Source organism: Homo sapiens, chromosome 1 (assembly GCF_000001405.40).
Source record: "Homo sapiens chromosome 1, GRCh38.p14 Primary Assembly".
NCBI lineage: Eukaryota > Metazoa > Chordata > Mammalia > Primates > Hominidae > Homo > Homo sapiens.
In genome coordinates, this window is record NC_000001.11 from 196385741 (window position 1) to 196405418 (window position 19678).

Consider the following 19678-nt stretch of genomic DNA (forward strand, 5'->3'; position numbering starts at 1 on the left):
AGTTAGTATGGCACCATTTCTGCATTAAAAAAATATATATATATATATATATTTTGGATCTGTTTCCTCATCTGTAAAATTGAAATGATAATATAATCTGTCTGTGGTAGCCAGCCTCCAGGATTGCCCCAAATAACTCTTACATGCTGGTATTCATGCCTGTGCTGTTCCCTCCTACATAGCAGAATGGGGATGAACCATATAACCATTAGGATATTGCAGAATAACAAAGTGTGATATCTAAGGCTATGCCGTAAAAGGCATTGTGACTTTGCCTTGCTCTCTTTTGGATCATCTGCCCTGGGAAAAGCCAGCTGCCACATCATGAGGATGCTCGAGCAGCCCAGAGGAAAGGTCCACATGTAAGAAACCAAGATCTCCTACCAATAGCCAGCACCAACTTGGGAGCCATGTAAGTAAACCACTTTGAAAACAGATATTCTACGCAAGTCAAGCCTTCAAATACCTGTAGTTATTTGATAACTGCAACTACACTAAATAACCTACATCTTCATTGTAACATCATAAATATCCAGATTATTACTTCTCCCAAATTCCTGACCCACAGAAACTGAGATAATAAATTTACATTGTTGTTTATACCACAAAGTTTTGGGATAGTTATGCAGCAATATGTAACTAATATACTAGCTTACGAAATTGCAATGAGAACTGAGTTAACCTATAAGTAGTGCCTTAGAACAGTAGCCCTTGCACAGGAAGCACTACATGTGTTGACTACCACTATTATTATAATAATTATTGTAGTTCTTATGTTATTTTTCTTTCTACCAAAGGGCAAAAGTTAATATTGCCCATTTCTTCAAAGGTAAGTAATATATTTCTGGAGAGCAAATTGGCATTGTGTATTAAAAACCATAAAAGTACAAATACCATTTAACCTAGAAATCCTACTAATCATATTCATCTTGGTAATATTTACGAATAGCTACCACTTTTTAAATTGCTTTATTTCTCATTCCTTATTTGAAGCAGAGTTAGCGTTCTCAAGAAGGATTTAGCTATTGACAGATTTATCAATTTAGTCCTTATGATTGATTATACAGCATAGCTTGATGGCTTAAATGAGAATTTGTTATGAATGAAAGTGGCTTTATGAAAATATTAAGTGAGATCGATCATGGGTTATAAAATGTAGCAATAGACTAATACATATTCATAAATTTATATATATTTCACTAACAGTAACTGATATTTTACTTCATGTAAACACAGTTTTGTAGTCTATATAAACATAACTTATAGTTATAATTAGGTGAATAACAATCTCACTGCTTAGATATAACCATTCACAAATTTTATCATGGTATTAATTATGCTTGATTATTTGGATCTTGTTAGAAAAATGAGAATATGCAAAAATCTATAAGTAAATTAAAAATAATAATCATCCACAAACCCATCTTCTACCTACTACTATATATTCCTTTATAAAGTGAATTATAAAGTTCTTCCTAATCTTATTTTTGCCTTGCCCCCATTTCCTACTATCCTCTATCTTGGTGCAGCCATATTAAGTGTTTTCAGTTCCTGTTAATTCACCATACCATTTTCTACCTTGGTTTCTTACTGTATGGCAACATTCAGGAATCACTCATATCTGCATTCATTTAAATATAACTAACCCATTCCTGTGTCAGTGTATAACTTACATGTCCCTTTGCCAAAATTCATCTATCATATCTGTATGTCCACCCTATTTTAAGCTTTCCTTGATGCCTGCATTTTTTTCCCTTAATAGCCATCTAAGCACTTTCTTGCTCAAACCATCTTTCCCACTAGAATGTAAGCTTCAAGAGGGCATGAGAGCTTCAGTCACATGATACTAAGAATCCTTTTAATGTTTGGCATTCTGTGTGTGTAATGGTATTGCTTTCCAATCTTCATTTTGCTGATGATTAGTGATATTGACAATCTTTTCATATGCTTAATGGTCATTGGTATATCCTTGTGTGTGTATAAAATATCCGTTCGATTCTTCTACCTATTTTTATTGGTTTGTTTGGACTCTTAAAATTGAATTGTAGGAGTTCTTTATATACGTTTGGATTCAAACTTTAATCAGATATATTCATTGTGAATATTTTCATTCCAGTCTGGGGTTCGCCATTCTTTGAAATTGTCTAGTGAAGAGTGGAAGGTTTAATTTTGATGAAAGCCAATTTTTCTTTTTTTTTTTTTTCTCTTATGGTTTGTGGTTTTCGTGTGTCTCAGCTAAGAAATATTTGCTACTCAAGTCTGTGAAAACATTCCTCTATGTTTTATTTTAGATATGTTGTAGTCTCACTTTTTACATTTAAGAGTATAATTTATTTCAAGTTAATATTCACTGTGTGGTGTGAGGTAAGGCTCAAGATATACATTTTTTCCAGAAGGATATAAAGTTGATCCTGAACTATCTGTTGAAGATTATTGCCTCTCCAAGGTAATTAACTTGGCATCGTTGATGAAAATATACAAGTTGATCTACTTCTGGGTTGTATTCTGTTCCATTGATCTATTTGTCTATCATTATGATAATTTCATGCTGTCTTTAATACTTTAGTATTACAGTAAAGCTTCACAACAGAGGTACTACGGATATTCTGACATGAATCTTCTTTTTCATAGTTGTTATGACTATTATCTTTACATTTTTATATTATTTAAAATAAGATTATTAATATTTCAAAGTGACAGCTATAATTTCAGTTGAAACGTATTGAATCTGTAGGTTAATTTGGATATAATTAACATGTTAAAATATTGAATCTTTTAACCCTTGAAGTAAGCTACATTCTCAGCTTATTTAGCTCTTTAAGAATTTCTCTCAGCAATGTTTATAGTTTCTTTATATGAGACTTGCACATATTTTATTAAATTCTCCCATATCTATTTCATACTTTTGATGAATTTTAAAGGTTATATTTAATTTAAATTCCTAAATTATCTTTACAAGCATAGAAAAATAAAATTGATTTCTGTATAAGGAAGATCATTTTGATATTCCTAAGTCATTCATTAGTTCTACTAGCTTTATTATAGATTCATTACCATTTTTAAAGAAATGTTCACTTAGCCTATTAATAAAGCTAGTTTTACTATTTCCTTTCTAACATGTACATTAACATTTATTTAATTTGCCTTATTGCACAGGTTAGGACCTTCAGTACAGTGTGAATAGAAGTAGAGCACACAGCTTTGACGTCTCAATATTAGAGTTTAGTACTCAGCCTATAAGCATCAAGTATAATAAAAATATGATGTTGCTTTTCTTCTATTTCCAGTATGCACAAATTTTTGTTAAAAACATTACTGATTTTTAAAATGCGGTTATTGCATCTGTTGATATGATCATATACTTATTTTCCCCTTTAATGTATTAATATGGTGAACTGCTCTGATTTTAAATGTTATATGACTATTGTAACCTTGGGATAAACCCAACTAGGTAACAGTATGTTCTTTCTGTATATTACTGAATTGGATTTGCTACTGATTTGTTGGAAGATTTTTGCATCTGTGTTCATAAAACGTATCAGTTTGCAATTTTCTTTTCTCATGATGTCTTTGGCTTTGGCCTAATCAAATAATGCCGGCCTTACAAAATCACTATAAATTTTTTTTTCTCCTCTCCTTTATTTTCTGGATATAAGCTTGTACAGAAGAGGTTTTATTTCTACCTTAATCACAGTTGGAATTTCCCATTTATTGATATGTCTAGTCATTTCAATTGGATACTGGCCAATGTGAATGTTATCTTATACAATGTTTAAAATGGGGTGCTTCATTTTGGTAGAATTAGTTTGATACCTTGAAGGTCTGCTGGATTTTTAAACTTTCAAGGGCAGTGTTAGTAGACAAAGTTCTAAGATGTCAAACCTCAAATGAGATTATAGATCAAGTGGATATCTTCACTGCAGACTGGTGAGACCTTGATGAGGGGAGCTACATAACCCATTCCTGGAATCATTACCCACAGAAACACAGATAATAGGTTTGTGTCACTGTAAATTGAAAAGTTAGTGGTAAGCTTTTATTACTGAAAACTAATACTGATCTATTTAGAGTACCCTTTGCTCTGGGGCTAAGTCAGTCTTACTAGCAAACTATGTATCTCATAAGATTTCAAATGCCCTGCTGATCGCCAAGGTCATTCTACTATGTCTGCTCAGAGTGTGAATATCTCCCACCCTGTCTGAGCACTGAGAATTGTTCTGCTTATGATTCTTTGGTTGTTTTTAGCCTGGCTTTTAGAGTTTCATTTTGTACATGTGTGACCTAATACTCAGAAAAAAATTACAAAGCGCTGTTTTTAGATTTCTGGTGCTCTTTTTTCTGTGTCACTCTCTCCTCTAGAATTTTTTTTTTCCACAACATGATGGAACATTACTTGTGTACTTGCAAACTATTTCATATATTTTGGCATATTTTTTTATTTTACTAGGTTATATTGTCACTTTTCTAAGTGGATCTTTTAAATCGTATATTCTGTATAGTACAATAATTACATGTTATGTGTCAAGCACTGTGCAATCACTGGACATATAAACTCATATTCTGGTGTTAAATAGACATTGAAATGACTATGAATCAATAAGTTCAGTACTCTAACAGAATTTATATTAAGTGTGAAGATATATGAAAAAGTGAGAGTAGCAAAGATAAAATGATTTTCTCAATCTCCCTTGGTTGCTGCAGTCAGCTGATTTTTAAGTCTACAGAAAATATATGGAATGTTTTACGTATATGTTCTCACTCCCCATTTCCATTATGATAGCACTCTCCATATCTTTCACCTGGACAACTATAATAGCTTCCTAAATAATCACTCCTATGAGGTTTTTTTTGTCCTCCTCACTGCACTCAACATTTCCCCTAGAGTTATTTTTTTAATCTAGTTAAAATTTTATGCCTTTACCGAATACTTGCATTATTCTCACACTACTTCTCCAAAAAAATCTTAGTAAAATTTAATTCACAATCACATGTACACACATGGATGCATACACATGTATTTGTGTATGTGTATGTGCACAATATGAAGTTCCAAGGCAAGGTGATTTGAGGTAATGATAGTTTTAACACCCCATTATAAGAATTGTCATCTCCACTTGCTGGCCATCCTACTGTTAAGATCTCATTCATTCTTTTTTTTTTTTTTTTTTAAAAAAAAACATATGTTAGGAGACTCTTTTCAAACCAAAACCAATTACTTCTGGGATAGGGAAACTAAATAATGAAAGCCTTAACTATCTATTGTAGGTGTATGAGATTGACTAAATTCATCAAGCAATATACAGTGAGACTAGAGCATAACTGGAATAATTGGTTTGATATACATGGAGGTTATGAAGGGCAGGAAAGGGGGGTTGTAAGGCTCCAACTAAAGCTCTATGTAGTAAGGATAAGCTCATTGGAGTGGTATTCTTGGGAAGTATATAAAAGTGCATTGACTTTTTTACAGGGTGACAGGTAAAGGCAATGAGACAAGCTGCCACTGGAATTGACACCTATTACATCTTCTTCATCATTATGTCACTAGCGCATAGAACAAGAAATTGATCATAGTACAAATCTAGAAAATGTTATGAAAAAGTATTTAAGAGTGAAAGAGAGCATACCTGGTCTTTTTCATAAGACATTTATATCAAGGAACTACTTGGCAGACTAAATACCATAGGCATAGGATATGATAGAATATGTCTGGCACTTTCTAAAAAAATAAGTATTATTTTACTCTGGTACTCAGAACCAAGAAATTGGGTGTTTGAAAATATACAACTATAAAAAACATTAATGGAGATAAACAAAAGATTATTTTAGTTAATTAAGTCATAAGTGGCCCACAAGAAAATGTCTCAAAATACCTAATATCCAGTGTCAATTTAATCAAATGTCAAGGAAAATAAACAGGAAAGATGGCTTAAACATCTTTTGCAATATTTAAATTTTTAAATTTTCATTTAAAAATAATCAACACCAATGTTAATTTCTTGTTTTGATTAAATGGATAATGGTTATATATACCACATTAACATTAGGAGAAGCTGTGGGATGTAGAGGGTATATAGAACTCTTTGCACTATCTATACTGCTTTTCCATAAATCTAAAACTATTGCATAAAAATTTTTACAAAGAAATAAAAAACATAAATGTGGTAAAAATAAAATTTTGAGTTAATACTGAATTTTAAAATACAGATTTAAGGAAAATCTGAGGGACAATTGATAACATTTGCATATAAACTGGATCCATAAAATTATTATTGACCATTTTAGGGGTAAAAATTTTAGCATTGTTATGTAGCAGAATTTCCTTATGCTTAAGAGAGCTCCGCTGATATAAAAATATGTGTGTATTTAGGTATGCGTACAAAGAGATTAGTCAAAAGTGGCAAAATGTTAACAGTTTTTGCAGTTTTTGAATGTAGATGGAGAGAATATGGTTTTTTTTAATTGTGTAACTGTTTTAAACAGTGTAAGTTTGATTTTTTGAAAGTAAAAAATAGTGAGGAATGGCATAAAAAATTAAAGATTCTCCAGACAGTGCTGGGCTTGAACATGGCCTTATGTTAAGTAGTTTCTGATGATCTCCACGATAATAAAAAAAATCAAAGAGAAAAGATTTCCATCCAAAAAAATGAGAATTTTCAAAGGCTTAATGTTTTATATTTTGAAAATATAACAACTCTAAGCATTATGTTCTTAAGTAGGTTGTAAAAATGAAGTTTAAAATGATGTCTATGTGGGTGTTATATGGGAAATGAAGAAATCATTCAGCATGAAAAACTCACACTTTACCATTTGGTGAAAGTCAAGCCTGCACATCCATATGTTATTTAGAAACAGCTAAGATGATTTCCAATATTTATATTGCTTGGAAATATTTTCCCACTCTCTTTCTTGGGTAGGAAAAAGTGATGCATTGGAATATCTAGTGATTTAGTACAAAATGGATGATGGCTAAGCTGAGCAAAACCTTCATTTTCTGGTCAAATCATTTCTCCAAGATATGTACATGTATGTGTGTGCACTTTAAATATTATTATTTTTATAATGGGAATCAAACTCTATGAATGATACATGTTTAAACAATATTGTCTGTGACATTGCTAAAAATACATTTACTTTTGCTTGGACTTTTAACTTCTTATTGTAATTAAAAATTATTTTAATTGTTAGAAGAACTAACTCCTACTGTTCTGGTATAATGTTGCATTCTTCTAGGCAGGTTTGAATTGCGAAGTACAAAGTATTTCATTCAGTCAACACTTTACTGTTGAGATATGGTTCTCCTTTTCGTGAACAAATTACAATCAAATTCTGTGATATATAAAATACCGTAACCAAAGCATAGAAAATATCTCAAGGGTAGCCTCTGGACTAAAAAAGAAGCATGGAAAGTAGATAATTCACACTTTCATTCACTCCTTTGTTTTTACATCCTTTACTCCTACTTGTGAGTGAAAATTTGCCAATTCGATTGTTATTTCTTCTCATATCTGTTCAAATGAAGTGGGAGATTTTCAGAGGACTCAACAGTTGAAAGAAAATTGGATGAGGAAGCTAAGAGAACTGAATATTCACAGACGACATAACACTTTATTGGGAAGATAGAGATATTGTGTTTATCTAAATTTAGCTATTAATTTACTCTTAAAACATGAATTCACCTCCCACTGATTTTCTGAGTAACCTCATCTGACTAGGAGACAAACAGCAAACTTCATTCAGCTGAAATTGATTAACTGGAGAGCGCAGTTTATTTTCAAAGTTCATTCAAGGTTTTTCAATGAAGAAGTTATCCTCCTAGTAAAGTACATGTTTTTTCTTTTTTGTTTTGGGGTGTGTGCATGTATGTGTGTGTGTGTGCATTTAATGATTTAGGAAATGCACAACAGAGAAGAAAATATGAAGTTTATTTCAGTCAGATTAAATGTTGAGCTACAGAAACATGTCTGATAACTAAACTGCTATAATATTGTGCCCTTTAATCGTGGTTTGCAACTGAGGAGGGGAATTTATGAAGGGTTCCACAACATGGAAGCATAAGGTTTCCCCAGGTGATTGTAGATCCGATATTTGACCCTAGAGAAGCTTTACTAGAATCGCTACACCCACAAGAGCTTGACAGAGAATACAAAATGTTACAAAAACACATTTTTGTATTAGTCATGTCTATGGCACGCTGCCATTGCCTCTGTCATATGTTTCAGTACCAATTGCCACTTCTAACAACACTATTATATTGGTGAAAAAAAGTCTCTCACTGGAAAAAAAATGATTTGACATAACCAAAGCCACGCTAACATCTGAATTTTGAACCATAAAAGGTGACACAAATTATTCACAAGAAAGAATCTTTAAAAAATAATGATATTGTGAGAGGGTATTGGAATTTGTATCCTGGTAAAAGAAAACGAGTTTAGGCTGACAATGGAGGTATGAAGATGGAGCCGCCTCCTGTGATACACAAACAGCAATAACTGTTGCAAATGTTCTGGGGGACATGAAGTGCAGCAGTAAGCTTATAGATACAACATGTGAATACCCAGAAAAAGATGAAAAGGGACTCTTTTGAAATAGCCTAAAGTGAGAGATGATAATGGCGTAGACTAGGGTTGTGATGCCGCTGTGGATTAGGTAGTACAACCGATAGGACAAGATGTGGGATTGGATGCAGAGAAGGAAAGCATGACTCACAGGTTTTTGATTGAGTTCTATACAGATGGTGCTGGGAATAATGGGTGAGAAACAGATTTTAAGTCAGAGAAAAATCAATAACTATTTTTAGACATCTTAATTTTAAGAGGGCTGTTAGAAATCTAATAAGAGATATTGACCATGCAGTTGAAGATTCAAAACTGAAGCTCATAGTGGATACTGAAGAAGAGTTTTAGTTTTGCAAATTATATAAATAGATGAGATCCTCTAAGAAAAAGATGAATAGAAAGAAAAAAAAACTCTTTTTAATTTTCCTTGTAGAGAATTTGATGATACATGGACAATGACAATTTTATTTCTTGTGTTCTGATGCTTATATCTTTTACTTTTTTCCAGCTTCACTGCCATTTTTATGATTTCCAGAAAAATACTGGATAAAAGTTGATTTAGTAGACACCTATGTTTGTACCTAAATGACAGCTTTTTAATATGTGATTATTAAATATAATTTTTTCTTGGTTATTTTGAAGATAACTTGTCTTAGATTAAGAAGTTCTTTGGTCCTAGCTTTCCAATAGATTTTTTTTTTTAAGTTTTAATTATGAATGAATGTTGAAGTCTGTCTCAAATACTTTACTACATTCATTAAAATTATGATATGGTTATTCTCTTTTAACATAATGATCTATTTCTGGAATAATTTCAACTTGGTGATTATATATTCTTTTATAAATATATTACTCGGTTTGTTTTCCTAAAATATTTTATATAATTTTTCAACTCTGTTAACCAATTAAGTTAGACTCTAAATGTTATTTCCAAAACTATCCTGAATGAGTTTCGTATCAAGGCTATGTTATTCCCGTTAAATGAGTTGGGAAGATATATTTTCTATTCTCTGAGAAAATGTGTGTAAGCTCAGAATTATATGCTTTTGAAATCTCTCTTATAAACTGTTTGTAAAACATTATGGGAGAGCCCAGTTAGTTTTCCTCTAAACAAGTACAATACAAATTTGTTATGAAGATGACGAATAGGCACTCAAGATATAAATTATACCAGTTGCTTAAAATAGCACTGGTGGCTTAAAACATCACTTACTGGTGGCTTAAAAATTAAAAAGATACTTCCAAGTATCCTTTTTAGTATTATAATGGCATGAGGGGGTTGTTTCTCATATCATCCCCATTTTACAACTTGAAAAACTCGAGCTTAAAGACTTGAAGAAGCCTGAGGTCATGCAGTCAGTACACAGGACAGCAACTACATCACCATGAAATGTCTCACTCCAGAATTCGCAGTTTCAATCATGTTATTTTGACAAATTTATTATAAAAAGGACAATTTTCTGAAAGTAAACTTTGCTTACTTTTTAAACATAAATTATAATCATGATTATATTTCCACAATTTAGGGTAAACCGAAGGAGCTATTTAAATAAATGGAAATGCAAATGCCTCATTTCATATCTTGTGAATATTGGAATCTACATATTTAATACCTATGAGAGTACAAGGACAAGAATATCATAAATATTGTCAAGTAAATACGATTTTAAATTAAAGTAATTATTATTTTATCACCAACAGTATTAGTTATCTACTGCCACATGACTAGTAACCTCCAAACTTCAGTGACTTAACCACCATTTTATTTCTCAAAACTCTGTGGGTCTGCATGATTCCTTGGGTTGGCTGGTAAGTAAGTTGGGAGCTGGACAGGTGAGGTGCTGGTATGGATGAGCCTCACTTTCCAAGTGATTTTTCATCCTTAGAGAGGCTAAACTGGGTTTCTTTATATGTAGTCTCTGAGCAGTGTTCCAAAACAGCAAAAGCAGAACCAGTATGACCTTTTAAGTCTTAGCTTCTGTTGTTACACAGTGTAAGTTTTGTTAGATTATATTGGTCAAAGCAAATCACAAAGCAAACCTTATATACAAAGATGGGGAAATAGATTTCACCTCTTCATGGTAAAAAGCTGCAAAATCACACGGCAACAGGGCACAGATATATACAGCATGGTTTCTTGAGGGCCATTATTTAAAGAATCTCTTACACAAACTAAGTGACAGCTTGATGCACTGCCTTTTGAAAGGAAAAGTCCATAATTTTTTAACTTCATGCTGAGATATAAAATATATGGTATTGTTTTGAGAGCTTCATACAGCACTCCAAACTCTTTTTGTGGCATTTTAATGAAACTAGGATGCCTTCATCTTTACACAATGTAAAAAGAGATCCTCTGAAATGTAATCTCAGTCATAAAAGAATGTAGGCACTAATAAAAAGAATTTCATCAGGTGTCAAAATGAGAAATATTGAGATAAATGGTTGGGATAGAATTTGTAAATAATCTATTCATTTTGAAGGTATTATTAAAATAATGACAAAATGAGAATCAGAAAATAGATTAATACAAATAGTCCGTATTTTTTTTTAGCAGTAGACTTTTTCAGCAAATTTGATCTCTCGATGGAAGCATACCAACGGCGTGCTAAAGGGAGAAAGAACTGAAGCCTGCTCTGAATTTTAGTTAAAATACACTCAAAATCACAAATTGTCTTTCGAAAATACATATTGTTTTAAGGTCTTGATACAATATCCATTCATAGAACACTTAATATGTTTCAGACATTATTTATTAAATCCTTACTATTAACCCTGATAAAACAGAGACATAATCTGTATGGCCTTTTAGTAGACAGGAAATAAGGCTCAAAATAGTAATCTGCCTACCTGTCTTAAGTGGTGGCACTCAAATTTAAAGTCATCATTTTAAGAGTTTACTTAGTGTTAATGTCATTACTGCCATTCAAAAATTTTGTCATAGCAAGTCATCACCATATATATTTAAAATTTTTCAAAAATATTTCTTTTCTTAAATAATAATAAAAATAAGATAGCCTAGTTACAAAGGTCTTTTTAATAAAAAGTTGGCATTTGATGAATGCTAATGATATACGTAACAGGTTGTAGATGGAGTACTTCACATATATTTTTCCATTTAATTTCACAAAGCCTTCTACAAAAGAGGCACTGTTATTTTTAAATTTCAGTTAAGAAATAGTCTTAGAGAGGCCCTAGCACCTATCATACTGTATAAATCAGAATCTCTATGATCAGTACTTTAGAAATTCTTCCAAAAACATACTAATGTGCAACCAGAGTTGGAAGCTATTACTTTAAATTGTTTGCTATACATTGTTAGGAAAAAAAGTGATGACATAAATTTGGGGAAGGCTAGAGCAAACTGAATAGCAACCATTTCATAATTTTCTTATCATTGCATCAAAATTCCCTAGTATTTACAATTTTTCATTTCAAAATCATACACTAACAGGTAAGAATTTTAAGATATGTAAACACATTTTCTGAAGGAAATACGTTTTGCTGACACATTGCTAAAATGTATTACATTTTAATGACTTTTGGAGCTTTAAACTTTTAAGATAGAATATAATGTAAAACATGGGATATTTGTGATTGTGGGGAAAACGTGCACTTGAATTACTGCTTAAATCAACATTAGCGGTTTTTTTTACAGAAGCATTTAAGAAAAAAAAAGCAAGTACAATTTTGCTGTTCAATTTTCTAGCAATTCAAAGTATAATCTCATGTGATCTGTCATTTTTAAAGCAGTACCTTCAAAAAAGTTCACATGCATCTTTTTCTTGAATTCTTTTCAAAGTCTATTCCCTAAATTAACTCTATTTACATATACCTGAATACATTTCAATGTATTAGTCTATTGCATGGTAAGCCTATGTGTGTATTAAACAATTATCTATAGCCAAATATCACCCATCTATGTGTAAACCTATGTATAAATGAGTAGATATGGCACTTGAAATTTGTGTCTATATTATGCATAAATCTACTACTGCTAATATATTTAGGCTTATTAAGGCATCCATTATGTTAAGGTACTAAAATCACCAAGTTATATAAAAAAATTAAGACTCAAGCAAAAGTATTATCTTGTCACATATTAAAGTGGATAAATCCTCTCGTATCAAGTAAATTAGTTTTAATAATCATTTTCAGTTCTTTAGAATCTTGAATACTTTAAGTTGCCACTTAGTTCAGAGACTTAACCCTTAAGCCACTATAGGAGTTTCAGGAAATTCAATGGATCTCATGCAAGATAAAAACTTACCAGCAAATTTGATGTGAAATTTATTTTCAGGCTTTAATATCTGGACATACAAAGGACAATTTGGAGCAAAATCTTTCACAGCCCATGCTCTCAAAATTGTTTGGTGATCCTGAAGTGATCAAAATAAAAACATCATAGCATAAGTTACAATGTTTATAACATATAAAGTAAAAGTAAGCAATCAGTTTGCTTGGTCACATCCATAGTTAAAACTTAAACATAAAAATTACTCTGAGGACTTGTTAAGGATACCTATTATTTCCATAGAAGAAGGTAGTAATAGCTAATTCAATCATAGCTAATTACTAGCACTTAGAATATTAGAAAAGATTAAGAGAAAAAATAGCTAGACAGACTTAAAAATAATTTTCCTAGAAAATTTCTGCAGTCAGAAGCTTTCAGACATGTAGCAAAACTAATAGTTTGTAATAGGAATTTCCAAGGAGAAATCAAAAATGTACATATAATAATAACATGCTTAGAAAATTACTTTTTTATATAATAGTAAAGGTAAAATAATTTTGACCTGTGTGTATGTGTGTGTGTGTGTGTCTGTGTGTGTACCTGTGTGGTATGTTTGAAGACATAAAAAACTCTTAGATATAATAAAATACATCAAAAAAAGTTTTTAAAAAGACACTTAAAGTAAGAAAAGGAATCAAAACCATGCTTAACACGAACTCCTTTACATAGTAGTCACCCCATAAATTCAATGAATTGAAAAAATCAAGGAAGATTATTAGATAAATGAACCACACAGTTAGCTAATACATTTTTGGAAAGGAAGCACAAAGGTGCTCTAGGGTAGCACTGTCCATTTAACAGTCACCAGCCACATAATTCTATTTAAATTTGAAGTAACTAAACTTAAACAAAGTTAAGAATGTAATTACTCAATCACACTAGCCACATTTCAAGTGCTCATAGTTGCACATGGCTAGTGGCTACCATATTAGAAAGTGGAGGTATAGAAATTTTTCACCATCACAGAAAGTTCTATTTGACAGCACTATTAGTGAAAGGAAAGGAAGATCCAAAATACAGATAGACACGAGGGACTGTTTATCCAAATGCAGATAGAAGAAGTTGTTATTTATGGTTGGAAACTGCTATAGACAGAATGATCATGTCCTCCCCAAATTTACATGTTGAAATCCTACCCTGCATTGTGAAGGTAGTAGGAGATGAGGCCTCTGGTAGGCCTCATCGTGAGGGCAGTCATCATGAATGGGATTAATACCCATATAAAAGACACCTGAGAGAGAGCTCCCTCGCTTCTTCAGCCATGTAAGGATGTTGCAAGAAGACAACAATCTAGGAACCAGGAAGCCAGTCTTTATCAGACATTGAGTCAGCTGGCTCCTTGATTTTGGACTTTGCAGCCTCCAGAATTGTGAGCAATACATTTCTGTTGTCTATAATCCACCCAGTCTATGCTATTTTGTTATAGCAACTCAAAACAAGATAGTAACTTTAAGTTACAAGAAAGTTGATGAATAGTAGTCCAGCATGGTTTACATGTACCATATGTTCCTTACAGGCAAATATTCAAATATCAGAATGAGCCCAATAATTCTACTAAGATTCATCAAGTGAATACTTGTTAATCAATTTTACATGCTTTTAAATCTGAGGTTTGAGGGTTATAGATAACTTAATGGAGGATTACTGTCATTTCTCTTTCACTAGAAGTACACAATTTTAAAGGAAAGGGAAAAAATAGAAAGTAAACCACTATATAAGTAAAAGGATGCCAAGTTATAATTTTTATTTTATTTTATTTCATTATGTTTAGTGTTGTGTTGAAGATAATGGGCCATTCTAGGGGTTTTAATCCTGCTTTATCCCTCAGTATCTAATTAGACTTGGACAAGTTAAATTTCCTCATTAGTAAAATGCAGATATTCTGTATCTTACAGGATTTCTAAGGTGAAATAGACAACACACATACACCTTTTAATAGAGGTTGGCAGTCAGTTATCGAAAAAACATAAGTTGTTTTTCTTATTATGTGTATCATCTTAGTAATAGTGAAGTAATATCATTAAGGATAAAAGATAAAGAACAAAAATGAATTTCTTAGGAAAAATTTAAAGTGAGACTTATCTGCTGACACCAGCAAGAAATGTAACATTAATAATAAAAGAAGAAATAGAAGAGGCCAGGACGTCTATCAATATGAAAGAATAAGCTCCTAATAAATTGTCCTTGCATATGACAACTATTAAAAAATCTATAGAACAAGCATACAAAGGCCCTAGTAAACGAACTAAAGTAGGCAGATTTTAGAGGAAAATTAAAACTTGGAGGAAGTATCTTGCATGTTATAATTTCCCTGTTTTTGCTGCTGTGACCTGAGGGCAGCTGTGGTTACCACAACAGCACAAGTTGGCTAAGACTCCACAGAAAACCTGCCAGAACAACAAGCGAATGGAGCCTGGAACAACCAGAGCCACCAGACACAGGAAAAGGGAGAGGCAACAAAGAGAAACCACAAATTCTGTGAATGAGTGTAAACATCTTTGGCTGACCTCTGAACCAAGAATCCATGGCGAAGCATAAAAACAATCTGAGCTGACATTTGTGAAGCACTACCAACCTCAATGGTGATGGAGTTTGCTTTATTTTGAGTTTAAGCAACTTAGCCTCTGCTAAAATGAGAGCACTAACATTATTTGGAAGAATACAGGAGAATCCAAGCCTCCGCAACATAACACAATATCCAAAATACGATGCAGTATTATTCAATTTATGAATTTCCAGAAAAATGTGACTTATTTGCATGGGAAACAAACAAAATGATAACCAATAGATGGTAGCTACTAGACAGTCTGAGATGTTAGAATTAGCAGAGAAGGACTTAAAGCTGCTACTAGAACTATGATCAGTAATGTAATGAAAAACATGTTTGTAATAAAAAAAAGAAAATTTCAGCAGAGTAATATAAAGTATTTTTAGATTAAAAAGCTGAAGTTTATGAAGAAACACATTCACTATATGGGCTTTGAAACAGATTGGGAATGACAGAAGAAAGGAGTCAGTGAACTTGAACATAGATCAATAGAATTTACCCAATTTGAAAAACAAAGAGAAAAGGTAAGGAAAAGGGAACAGAGTTCAGGAACTTGTGTAACACGGTAAAAAGGTCTTACATAATATAATTGAATTCCCAAAAAGAAAACAAATGAGAAAAACTAGCAGAAAATGATTTTAAGAAATAATGACTAGAAACTTTTTAATTTTGTAGAAGACATACACTTATAAGTTCAAGAAAATTAGCAAAATCTAAACTATATAAACAAAAAGATAACCATGCCTAGCCACATTGTATTCAAACTGTTAAAAAACAAAAATAAAGACAAAATCTTGACAGCACCCAAAGAAAGAGTCATATGGCCAAGGACTCTCATCAAAAATCCTGAAAGCCAGAAAACCCTGGAAAAAATTCTAAAGTTTAGAATGAAGGAAAAAAACTATGAAACCAGAACTTTACATCTAGCAAAAACTCCCTCAAAGAGGAAGGTGAAATAAAGGACTTTTTAAAATAAAGAAATGTACTTTCCTTATTCTAAAATAAGGAAATGTACTCCCATTGGAATCATACTACAAGAAAAGTTTAAGAAAACTATATAAACTCAAGAAAAATGATACCAGGGAGAAAGAACTTCAGAAATAAAACAAGAGTAACAAATGTTTAATGTTTTAATGACTATAAAAATCCATTTCCTCTTAACTTCTATAAAATATATAATCTGAATAAAGCACAATTTATAATATTGTTTAGTGTAGTTTCTAATCTATGGATAAATTATTATATCTAACAACAATAACATAAGAGACAGTAGAAAAGGAATAAATGCAAGTTTATAATTTTAACAAGTGGTATAACAATGATATAAAGCTCACTATGAAGCAGTAAGAATGTGTATTGTAATCCCTACAGCACTCACAAAAAAAATTCAAAAGGCACATCTAAAAAGCCAATAGGTATATTACATTCAGTGCTTTACAAAATCAAATAATAAAAAATGTGGGAAAGGAAAAACAGAGGAACCAAAATTAGAGGAAACAAACAAAACAATTTAGATAGAGCTATATCTAACCATATTAATAATGACATTAAATGCCAATGGACTAAACATGTTGAAACACAAAGATGTAGATAGCAAGAAAACAAACAACTCTATTTAAAATTGGGCCAGAGATCAAAACAAACATCTGACCAAAGAACGTATACAGATTAGAAGAATGAAAAGATAGTTAACTCATGTCATTAGAGAGTTGCAAATTAAAACAGTAAGACATCACTAAACACTTTTCATAATAGCTAAAATCTAAAGTGCTGAAAACACCAAATACTAGAGAGGACACAGATCAACAGGAAGTTGCATTCATTGCTGGGAGGGAATGCAAAATGATACATCAAATTTGGAATACATTTTGACAATTTCTTACAAAACTAAGTATACCCTAACCAAATAATCCAGCAATTGGGCTCCTTAGTATTTACCTAAGTGAACAGAAAATGTAGGTCTCCACAAAAACATGCATGTATGTGCTTAAAACAACTTAATTTATAATTACAAACACTTGGAGGTAACCAAGATATACTTCAATAGATGAATGGATAAACCGTGCCACATCCATACAATGGAATATTTGGCAATGCAAAGAAATGCACTATCAATCCAAGAAAAGACATGCAAAACCTCAAATGCATATTGCTAAGTGAATCTGAAAAGGCTACATACTGCATGATTACAACTATATGTCATTGTAGAAATGCAAAATTATGGAGATAGTACAGAGGTCAGTGGTTGCCAGGTTGGGGAAAAGAAAGGACAGAAGGATGTATAGGTAGAGCAGATAATATTTTTAAGACCCTAAAACTATTCCTTATGATATTGTAATGGTGAATGCATGTCATATTACATTTATCAAAACCCACAGAATATACAATATAAAGAGTGAACCCTAATGTAAACTATGGGTTTTAGTTAAATAATTTATCAATATTGGTTCATCAGTTTCAACAAATGTATCACAATAATGGAAGATGTTAAAAATAGGAAAATGGGGTGTAGGGGGAGAGGAGTGTAGGGGGTGAGATATGGACATTCTCTATATTTTTTGTTCCATTCTCTCTGTAAACCTAAAATGGCTTAACAATAACAACAAAAAGTCTAGTTTATTTTTTTAAAAAGTAAGTGAGAAAAGCATGATCTGTAGAGTCACAAACCTTGGGCTCTAATCTTCACTTCAGAGGTTACAAAAATGCATGAGTAAAGGGAAGTTACTACGGATCTGATTCTTCTTACAGAAGTTTTGGTTATTGTATAATGGATGTGTGCAACTTACTTTTCTTATTTATCTTAACCCTTGGCAACAGTTGACTTGTAGACCACTGGCTCCCTAAAACATCCTCGTTTGGCTTATCTGACACCATGCACTTGGTTACCCTTTGACATTCTTATCCCAAACTGAACTCATCTTGCTACTGGTAGTCCTCCCTTTTCCCAAAAGAAAATACTAATAGATACTAAATCTTCAGCTTCTCTGTCTCACTTACCTTGCATTTAGTGAGTTCTCAAATCTTGTTGATTATGCCTCTAAAGACTGCTCTAATAGCTTCCACTTTTCTCCAGCACCAGTGCCACAGCCTAATCTAAAAACTTGTCACTTCTGGCTTGGAGTAAGGGCAACAGCTCCCCAGTCAGCCTATCTCAAGCTTTATAACATTTTTTTCACTAATTCTGTAATCTTATCAGATGCAGTTTTTTCCAACTAAAATTCTTATTGTTGTACGTGGCTACTTAAAATCCTACAGTGGTTTCGTTTCTTTTGGCATCAAATTCAAACTTCTTAACAAGGCTTACGACAACCTTTATTAAACGTTTCCCAAACTATTTCCTCAGTCTTTGCATTCTTCTCTCTAGCGATAATGCACATTCTCCACTCATAACCAGCATTTCCCACCTAGGACCATTTGCCAAGAACATTCTTTATGGGCTCAGCCCTATTCATGCCTCTCATCCCTGCTAAAAAGTCACTTATCTAGGAAGCCTTTTCTTCTGACTACTGGTAAATTAGGATAGATGATGCTACTTGATCCCATTGTATTCTGTGAACAATTAACCCCATCTAATTTTTAGCATTTTTAAAAGTTGGTCCTCCCTAAACTATAAGCTTGATGAAGGCAAGGGCCATGTCTACATTTTGCTCACCCTAGCTTATCCCCAGAACCTAGCATTCATTTGCATATCACAGGTGAATAAGAAAAACAATATTTACTTCATATTGATAGTGTGAACATTAAATGTGATAATATAAAGAGAATTAGGCATATAGAAAGCATTTAGCAAATATTTCAATTCAATGGATGAATACAGGAGATAAAGTACCTATTCTGAAATCTTCCTTGTTTTATTCATATTTTATGCCCTCACAAAACAGAACAAACATCAGTAATTTTGAGTGGGTCATTAAGTGAGGAAAAAGGAAAAGAGCTGTATAACATGGCATAAATATCATATGAGAAATAGAAAAGAAAAATTTTCCTAATACAGATAATTAAACTAACAAAGAAACAAGATTTCACTTCATTTTTTTTTTTCTAAAAGCAGAAGATTGATTGATTTTTTAAAACTTTTCTTGGGGACAAATTCATCCTTAAGTAAAGTGCTCCATATTTCGAATCATAGAGTAAAATGTTTATTGTGATAACCTTAGAATAAAAATGCTGTAATAATAAAGGTAGGTAACTTGGGACACTACCACATCATCTGAGTGTCTGTTGCTACTGTGAAACAGAACATTTTACCCAAAGTCAGTTTGCCTAAAAATTAAATTAGTGAAG

At 32.1% G+C, this 19678-nt stretch overlaps 1 protein-coding gene across 14 annotated transcripts in view; it reads right to left on the reverse strand.

Moving 5' to 3' along the window:
- KCNT2 (potassium sodium-activated channel subfamily T member 2) overlaps window positions 1-19678 on the reverse strand; it is a 382662-nt gene that overhangs the window by 159962 nt on the left and 203022 nt on the right. For all 14 annotated transcript variants that reach the window (NR_146057.2, NR_146058.2, XR_001737149.3 and 11 more), the window contains one exon: window positions 12823-12931. Coding sequence is in view for 10 of the 14 variants with exons in the window: in NM_001287820.3 (NP_001274749.1) it covers window positions 12823-12931 (109 nt within the window). In the remaining 4 variants the exon portion in view is untranslated. The remainder of the gene's footprint in view (window positions 1-12822; window positions 12932-19678) is intronic.